Here is a 10613-nt window from a genome sequence, read left to right as displayed (position 1 = left end):
CATTGCAAGATGTCCAGCTGGGCTAAGCATGCTGGGCTTCCCTGTGAGTGCATCTTCCCTTGAGAGGAGCTGTCATTCTGCATCTGGGCTGTGTTTCTGCATCTGGGCTGTGTTTCTCAGGGGCTTCTGACTTGTGTGGAGAATCACACACTGGGGAGCAATGTTAGAGGACAGAGAGCAAACAAGATGTGGGCAGGATAGAAAGGAAAGGAGTAATGTGTTTGTTCCTATGGGATAAGCCCTCCTACTGTCACAGAAGTTGCTACTGTACAAAATGCTCAGTGGTTTGAATTTCCTGAAAAATACAGGGAAGACATGGTTATAAATACAGGGAAGACATGGTTATAAACTCAGGATTTTGTTTAGGGGAAACAGTCCAAAAGGATTTCAAAACATGAAGTCAGAGAAATGCAAGGACTCCACAAAATTTGAAAGAAACTTGTAACAATCCATGCCGTGAGAGACTTGATTTGACCCTGAAAAAATACATTATCACATATGGATAAGGAATATATTAGTCTATTTTCATACTGCTATGAAGAAACACCTGAGACTGGGTAATTTATAAAGAAAAGAGATTTAACCAACTCACCATTCCACATGGCTAAAGAGGCCTCACAATCAAGGTGGAAGGTGAAGGAGGAGCAAAGGCATGTCCTACATGATGGCAGGCAAGGGTGCCTGTGCAGGGGAACTGCTCTTTATAAAACTATCAGTCCTTGTGAGACTTATTCACTGTCATGAGAACATCACAGGAAAACCTGCCCTCATGATTCAATTAACTCCCATCAGGTCCCTCACACGACATATGGGGAATACGGAAAGTACAATTCAAGATGAAATTTGGGTAGGGACACAGGCAAACCGTATCCTTCTGCCCCTGACCCCTGACAAATTTCATGTCCTCACATTTCAAAACCAATTATGACTCCCCAACAGTCCCCCAAAGTATTAACTAATTTCGGCATTAATTCAAAAGTCCACAGTCCAAAGTCTCATCTGAGACAAGGCAAGTCCCTTCAGCCTATGAACCTGTAAAATCACAAGCAACTTAGCTCCTTTCTAGATACAGTGGAGGTACAGGAATTGTGTAAATACACCCCTTCCAAATGGAAGAAATTGACCAAAACAAAGGGGCTACAGACCCCATGAAAGTATGAAATCCAATAGGGACTCATTAAACCTTAAAGTTCCAAAATGATCTCCTTTGACTCTATGTCTCACATTCAGGGCATGCTGATGCAAGAAGTGGTCTCCCATGGCCTTGGGCAGCTATGCCTCTGTGGCCTTGCAAGGTACAGCTTCTCTCCCAGCTGCTTTCACAGGCTGGCATTGACTGTGTGCAACTTTTCCAGGTGCACGGTGCAAGGTGTCAGTGGATCTACCATTCTGGGGTCCAAAGAGGGTAGTGGCCCTCTTCTCACAGCTCCACTAGGCATTGCCCCAGTTGGGACTCTGTGTGGGGGCTTGCACTCCACATTTCCCTTCTGCACTGCCCTAACAGAGGTTCTCTATGAGGGCCCCACCCTTGCAGCAAACTTGTACTTGGACATCCAGGCATTTCTATACATCCTCTAACATCTAGACAGAGGTTCCCTAAGTTCAATTCTTGATTTCTGTGCACCTGCAAGCTCAACACAACATGAAACCTGCTAAGGCTAGAGGCTTGCACCCTCTGAAGAAATGGGCTTAGCAGTACCTTAACCCCTTCCCATGCCTGGAGCAGGTGAGAGGCAGTCCCAAGGCTGCACACAGCTGGGAGCCCTGGACCTGGCCCAGGAAACCATTTTTCTCTCCTTGACCTCTGGGCCTGTGATGGGAGGGGCTGCCATGAAAGGCTCTGACATGCCCTGGAGACATGTTCACCATTGTCTTAGTGGAAAACATTTGGCTCCTTATTTCTTATGCAAATTTCTGCAGAAGGCTTGAATTTCTCCACAGAAAATGGGTTTTTGTTTTCTATCACATTCTCATGCTGCAAGTTTTCCAAACTTGTATGCTTTGCCTTGTCTTGAATGCTTTGTTGCTTAGAAATTTCATCCCTCCATATACCCTAAATCATGTCTCTCAAGTTCAAAGTTTCAAAGATCTCTAGGGCAGGGGAAAAATGCCACCAGTCTCTTTGCATAACAAGAGTGACCTTTACTGTAGTTCTCAACAAGTTTCTCATCTCCATCTGAGACCACCTTAGCCTGGACCTTATTGTCCATTTCACTATGAGCATTTTGGTCAAAGCCATTCAACAAGTCTCTAGGGAAGTTTCAAACTTTCTCATATTTTCTTGTCTTCTTCTGAGCCCTCCAAACTGTTCCAACCTCTGCCTGTTACCCAGTTCCAAAGTCACTTCCACATTTCCGGGTATCTTCATAGCAGTACCCCACTCTATCAGTACCATTTTCCTCTATTAGTCCATTTTCATACTACTATGAAGAAATACCTGAGACTGGGTAATTTATAAACAAAAAATGTTTAATGAACTCACAGTTCCACATGACTGGAGAGGCCTCACAATTGTGGTGTAAGGCAAAGGAGGATCAAAGGCACATCTTACATGGCAGCAGGTAAGTGTGCATGTGCAGGAGAAATGCCCTTTATAAAACCATCACATCTTGTGAGACTTATTCACTATCATGAGAACAGCATGAGAAAGACCCACTCCCATAATTCAATTACCTCCCACTGGGTCCTTCCTAAAACACATGGGGATTATGGGAGCTACAAATTCAAGGTGAGATTTGGGTGGGGACACAGCCAAACCACATCAAGGAAACAGCAACAAACTGATTTAAAATTTTGGCCAAGTCAAATAAGAATTTAATATCTTGGCTGAATCAAGAATATCATGTTCCTGAAAAATAGTACACAATTAGTTATATTACATTATGTTGCTGTTCAGGCACTATTTTAAATATGATTATTTTAAATGCCATTTAAAATAAGGACTTTTGCTATGAATTGGAATAATTAGACATCTACTATCCTTTAAAAATTTTGTCATGAAATTAAAGAAAATTTAATATCTTCTTGAATTTTTTGATAAAATAATAGAAATTGCAACATTCACTTTTGATTTCTTCAAGATAGGTTTTACAAAGTAAAATTTCAAAGATGCATCACATTTTTTTCTTTTTGTCTGAGACAGAGTCTCGCTGTGTTGCCCAGGCTGGAGTATAGTGGCACAATCTTGGCTCACTGCAACTTCCGTCTCTTGGGTTCAAGTGATTCTCATGTCTCAGCCTTCCAAGTAGCTGGAATTACAGGCACACCCCCATGACCGCCTAATTTTTGTATTAATATTTTGAGTAGATATGGGGTTTCACCATGTTGGCTATACTGGTCTTGAACTTCTGACCTCAAGTGATCCACCCACTGAAGACTTCCAAAGTTCTGGGATTACAGGAATGAGCTACTGTGCCCTGCTTCAAATATTTTATTGCATTATTTTTCAAGATAAGATAAATAAGAAGTACCCAAGGAAGTTAAAATGTTTCCAGAGGTTATCTTACATAGGACATGAAAGAGAGCAGGAAAGAGGGCAATTAGATTCAGGAGTGTGAGAAAGTGCATAATTGTGCTCTACATATGCACACAGTGCTGGGGTTAGGTTTTGAATGTATGTGAACTGATTTACATCTCTAAAAAAAATCACAACTTACTTAAGGTCTTTCTAAAATACCATTTACATTTGCTGGACTTGCCTGCTGCATTTTAAACCACCACTGAATGCCCAGTTCATCGTCTCCTGTGGGTGCCAAAAGGACCAGAAAGCCACACTTCTTTCAGCTCACTTCAACACCATTTTCTTGGCATCTCTTGATTACTCATTGTGTGGCAGTCAGACCTGCTGTGAGAGTGATTCCAGCATTAAAAGCTGTTGTCACCACATTTTATTAATGTTCCCCAAGATATTCAGTGATCCTACACTTTTCTGAAATTGTAAAAATCAGCTACCTAAACCAACATACTTCTCTGGGAAAAACTACCAAGACATTTATTAGCTCTACAAATTAAAAAAAAAATACCTTGTCCCTCACAACCTATAATTTCTTAGTTTAGGGCTGAAGTTAATATTTTTGTGGAAGGATATTCATTGTGAAATACTTTTCTCATAGGTTAAACTATTATGAGATATTTTAATTTCGTTAAGAGTAGTAAATCAATCCATATTTTATTAACATCTTAAGTTCACATTACGCATGCTCTATTGGCATAATTGTTAAAATCAAAAGACTTGGCATTAGATACAAAATGCTTAAGTATTTAGAAAATTTCTTCTTTAATTTTTTGATAGGCTGTGGGTTTACATATTTAAAATAACATATCGCTATATCTGTCTATCTGTCTATGAATCTATCATCTATCTATCTCTGTCTTCTATCTACCTAATTTGCCCATTTTCCCCTGGTCCTGAGATGCTATGCTGAATGTTGATTAATACATATCATCATCCCTAAATCCTAGTCATCCTAGTTGGAACATTTTTTTCAACATTGATGGGTGTGTGTGTGTGTGTGTGTGTGTGTGTGTGTGTGTGTGTTTTAATTTTGACAAGTATCATAAGCTCCCACAATCTCAATTTCCCAGAGAGAAATTTCAAATGTAAAGAAATGTTGAAAGAAAAATACCAGCTAGATAAATTTGGCAAAGACTGGCCATATTTGTCCTCTCTCTCCTCTTTTTCTCTGTCTCCCACCACATTTCTCACCTTCCACTTTCTCCTTCTCTCTCTCTCTCTCTTTCATACACACACACACAAACACACAAACACACACACGCACATACACACCTGGTATATAATTTGAAATTACACCTGCTTTACATCCAAATACAATGGCATTCACCTTGGGAATAATGAGGACAATTATCATCCTTTAACAATGTATTTGCCTGAAGCAATAGTTAATATTATACACAGAGCTGCAAAATGCAGGGTCCCTTTTTACCATCCCTTCTATGTTTATTAGATAGCAGTTTTCTTAAAAAAAAAAGGTCTTCCCTTTTTTCCTATTTAATCACTATTTTTGTGCAGCACTATTTATGGTCTTAGATGTTTTATTACATAAAGCAAAACAATCAATACCAATGCATTGACCAATCTTAAAAAACATTAAATAATTTTAATGTCATATAGTACACGTACATATTTACCCAACTGTTACAAGAGTCTATGTTATTCTTTACATTTTTTAAATCCAGAGCACCATTCAATCCAGTTCAAACTTTGCAATGGGTTGTTATGTCTGCTAAGAGGCCCTTGTTCATGACATTGGGTTTTTGAAGACCCATGAAGAGTGAGTTTCCTCATAGACTATTTTTTACTCTCAATTTGTCTGTTTGATTCCACATGTTGTTTTATTCAATTCTCTATTGCTGCATTTCCTACAAACAGGAAAAATGTCTGGAAGCTTGATTGCATTTCTGTTAAAGTGTTGGGGATTTTAGAGGTGATTTTGTGTATAATCTATTGCATCCTATTGGGGGCTATACCATCTGATGTCCCACTATTAATGATGTTTTGTTTGATCAATTTGCTAAGGTGGTATTGGCCAGATCTCTCCATGGAATCTTAAGAAGAGTGTTTCATATCTATGTTTTCAGTTGTTCTTATCTTCTTTGCTTCAACAGCTCTCTGATGCATTTACACAGATACGTTTTTTTTTGTATGTCTTTTACTTGGCTTTCTTCTTGATCTTATTAGGACCTTGGGTTTGACACAAGCTATTCTTCTCATCTAGATCAGAGGTCTTCTCTTTTATAATGTGTCCTTTATTGTGAGCACTTCTGTGATTTCTGGTATAACTAGATATCTCATTTTCTACTATTCCTTTCCTGAACTTTTGATCAGACATTTCTCTAAGAATTTCTGCCTCCTTTTCATGGGGACTGGTACGTATGAAAATGTGCAGCATAGCCACCACGCTGCACATTTTCTGTTCCCTGCCTACATCTCAACTCTCATCTTGTATCATCTTTTCCTAGTTTCTGAGATTCTGGCCTGATACTCATTTATTCTCATGCGCTGTGTTGTCATTACCAAAAAAACTTGTCTAAAGTTGTTCTTTCAGATTGCAATGTTTCTCTCTCCTTCTCTCCCCACCTTTTATTTCTGAGCATAGGACATATATATAACCTATATAATACTCTTCATAATTTGAAGAGTAATTAAAAGTGCTTACTCACGATCCGTGCTGTAACTTCAGATAGGGAACAATCGAGCATCCTACAGGATACCTCTAAACTCCCAGAACAACCAGCAAGCTAAATGTTATACTAAATATATCCTTTTTCTATTTTATTTTTTATCATAAATGTAATTAATGCTATACATATAGTATGTATGTATACATATTTGGATTATATAACTGAAATTTTTCGGTTGTATGTATTTTTCTGCAACCTGTCTTTTCACTGAATATTTCATTTTTAACATTGTGTGATTTTATTGGTGCAAATAATTTTCATTGTTGTGTACTGCTCTACTTTATAAATCTATTATTATACATTTATGTATTCTCTTGTCAATGAAATTGTGATTTCCTGACATTTTTTTCTTTTTTCTTTTTAAACACACATAGCTCCAAGGGCAGATGAACTTGTTTCTGTAAGGCATATTTCTATGTATCAAATTATTGGTTTATAGAGTGCGGAGATATTCCACTTTGTTTCAAAATACAAATGTTTAAATATTTATATCATTTATATTCACTAGAGCAGGCTGTGATGACTTCTGTTTTTCCATATTCTTAGGAATATATGGTAATGCCTGAAATTAAGTTTTGAAAGTCTAGTGATTTTAAAATCATATTTTATATGTTTGATATACATTTTCCTGATTGCTAATAATATTAACATTTCATATTTTTATCTGCCACTTACGTATTTTTTCTTGTGAAATACCTATTCATGTTTTTCCCCTTTACTCAAATGAGTCATTTGTCATTCTTTTTTAGTTATCTGTCTGAATATTGATACTTTATCTGCAATATTACAAGGATTTTCTCTCTGTTTGTAATTGTTTTTCCATTTTACCTATCATGTCTTGTGATGAACCAAGGTTTTAAATTTCCAAGTAGTCTAATTTATACATCTTTTCCTTATGGGTTGCATTTTTATGTATTTTAAAAAGGATTCCTCCATATTCCGAGGTTATACATATATATTTCTAAAATTATTTAGTTTTTCCTTATATATTGATGTCTTTAATCTTTCTGTAATTTATTTTTGGGCATGATATAAAGCAGAGATCCAATTTATCTACTTCTTTGTAATTTGTGATTATGCAATTATGCCACTACCATTTATTAAATAGTCCATCTTCTCACCCACTACTCTGTACTGCATCCTACATTCTACATTACCTTCCCATATATGTCTGGGTGCTCTGTTCTGTGCTATTGATATATTTGACTACACACAAACACACACACACAATTTAATTATTCTGAAGACTTAATATTGGTGTACTAAAAGTCTGATACTTAGGAGGCTAAATTCCAACTGACTAGGATTTTTTCTTTTTCAGAATTTTCATAACTATTCTTAGACTTTTGTTTTCACAAATAAATTTTAGAAGAAAATCTCATAAACTTCTCTGGTAAAAAAAAAGACCTATTGGACTATGAATGGGATTTTGTTGACTCTATAGTTCATTTGTGGTGAACTGACATATGTACATGATTTAATTATCTAACCATGATTATTATATTTAATTTGTTTTAATAAAGACTTATAATGAAGCTCGTAAAGGCCATATCCACCTTTTCTTGGATTAAGTCCTTAGTTCCTTAAATATATGTTTTTTATTTTATTCCTTGATAAAACTGGATAACATTTTCTACCTGCTCAATACTATTGGGTAGAAATGCAATTACTTTGTATATTGATATGACCACTATTAAACATATACAACTCTATTTTGTCTGAAGATTATTTGTGTTGTTTTTACTTTGACAATCATATCTGAACATTTTATACATAATAGATATCTATATGATATGTATATACATATTATATACATAATAGATATAGTATCTTCACAGACAATCATTAGCTATGTGTGCATGTATATATATAAACATATATGTGTGTGTGTACATATACTAGTTATGTGTATACATAGCTAGTGTGTATATAGCTAGTATATACACACATACACATATATATACACATATTTGTGTTATACACACATACAGTGATTGTACCTGTGAAGATACTATATATTTATAATACACACTAGTTATGTGTATATATAGCTAGTGATTGTGTGTATATATGTACATAAACACACATAGCTAGTGTGTATATACATGCATAATATAGAAATATATATACTATCTTGTATCTTGCATCTATATACTATCTTGACAGATACAATACATCTTTCAATATACAGATATAGTGATTATATATGGACATAAACATAGCTGGTGTATATATGCTGTATCTTGACAGATACAATCACTAGCTGTGTGTATAAAGATAGGCGTTTACAGCTGGAGACTGGATGTGTCAAGGTGTATGATATGAATCCTCACAGTCATTAGCTGGCAGAGAAATATTGTTAAGAAGCAGGCTTTTGATCAACTAACACTATTGGAAAATAACTTGAATTCATAAAATATAAAGAATATCGCCTCTCAAGAAGTAAGTAACAAAATGAGAAACTGAGAACAGAAAACAGACAAGGAACATTTTTTAAAATTTACTTTAGGCCTATTTACTGACAAGTAAAACGCGATTCACCCTGAGCCTGAAACACGACAATCGCTTCTGCTTCAGCTATTAATCTCCTACTGCATGACCTCTGTACATATACTCCACGACCAAAGCACTGAATAGTAAGTTGTTCTAAAAACACAAAACAAATAAAAAGAAAGCTAGGTTAAAAACTTTTTATTTTATATGATTTTTAAATAGTTTATTTACAAATCCATCAGTCCTTACAGAAAATGGAGAAGGAAACTTAGGTGGCCTCTTTGGGGCTCATTATGGAAAGTGCATACTGTTTACGTAATAATTACGATTAACCCACATATGTCTTAACAAACAACCTAAGAACAGAATGACAAAAAGTAAAGGATATGATGTAGATTTATAAGTGAAATCAGAAAGATTCATGATGTTTACTTTAGATAAAGAGAAGACAACCAGTACATATAATGAAGCAAATCATTTTAAACTACTATAAAGGCAATTATAAAAGACATTGCTTTTAAAAGCACCATTAACTTTTCTCCTTTAAATTGAGTCCTGGTTAGTAAGTACTATTCCTGTGAAAAAGAATGTAAGAATTCACAAAATTCAGTAAATAAATCTAATTAACCACATTTTAATTTTTTAAATAATTTTCTCAACTGTGGAAAATCGACCTAACTGACTTTGACATGTGGAAAATGTGCTTTGATGTATAAAAATTAAAGTATAATAGAAAAGAATCCTCTTGCCTACTCCTACTTATCCTGTCTCATAAAGAAATTATAAAGCAATGAATTTAAAATGGGTCAGATGAAAACCATTTAAACTGTAATACATATAATCAATTCAAGTAAGTTAGTGCTACAGGCTTATTGAGACAAATTCTTTATCAAGATATAATGCACTAATAAGAATAGAATGTACCGTTACTGTGGATAATGCCTTGAAGACAATGTAATTTTACTTTATAACATTATAATCATCAACCCTTTTCCTGATGCCTACTGGGCACACACCACTGCTGTTAAAAAAAAAAAAGTGGCAGGAAAAGGGGAGTCTAAATATGGATACAACTTCCAAGAATTTACAATCTAGGGACATGTAAATCATTTCCTTAAAATTATAAATGTATTCTCATATGAATTAGGCTTCTAAAATATCTCAGTCTTCTTGAGATTTTTCCTTTGCAATATAAGACAATAGTTTTGGAGAGGAGTTTCTGGTCTGATTATGTGGCTTTTTCCCCCAAGCACAGCTAATAAAAATGCAAAATTCTGACACATTGTCTGTTACCTTCCTTAATGTCATGAAATAAAATTGTATTGAGGATCTTAGGTAAAGCCATATGCAGAAAAGCATTATTCAACAGTTTGCTAAAGCTGGTGAGAATTTTGAACAATTCATGACAAGTTTAAGAAATCAAGTTCTATAAAACACGAGGGATGACGTTATGTAACAATGCAGTGTTATATGATCTGAGAGTGCTTATTCTTTATAGAAGTGTAAATTAATTCTTGGTAATTTGAAAACATGGTCTGTTTTGGACATGTAAGATATATGATGCTTTCTAGCAGGGAACATAATATCTGTGTGAATTAGTTAGATATCTTTTCTGTGATAAGAAAAATAATCTACACCTGGGAATACTTCCAGTTGTTCAGAGTGAAACATACTAGGAGTGGCATTTTCCTCTTTGCGTCAATTCAAAAGGTTAAATTTTGTCTCAACCTATGAAATGTGATATATTAGTTCAAAATATTTACTGAGCACTATAATGAGAACAGCACTTTTCAGATCTTAGGGTGTATTGGTAAATAAAATGAGTAAAGATTCTTGCTTTTAGAAGTAATATTCTAGCATTGAGAAACCGATCAATTAAAATATGCCTAAAACAAATATATTTTACAGTTTGCTGGCCT

Source organism: Homo sapiens, chromosome 18 (genome assembly GCF_000001405.40).
Source record: "Homo sapiens chromosome 18, GRCh38.p14 Primary Assembly".
NCBI classification, from domain to species: domain Eukaryota; kingdom Metazoa; phylum Chordata; class Mammalia; order Primates; family Hominidae; genus Homo; species Homo sapiens.
Note: the sequence above shows the minus strand (reverse complement) of the source record.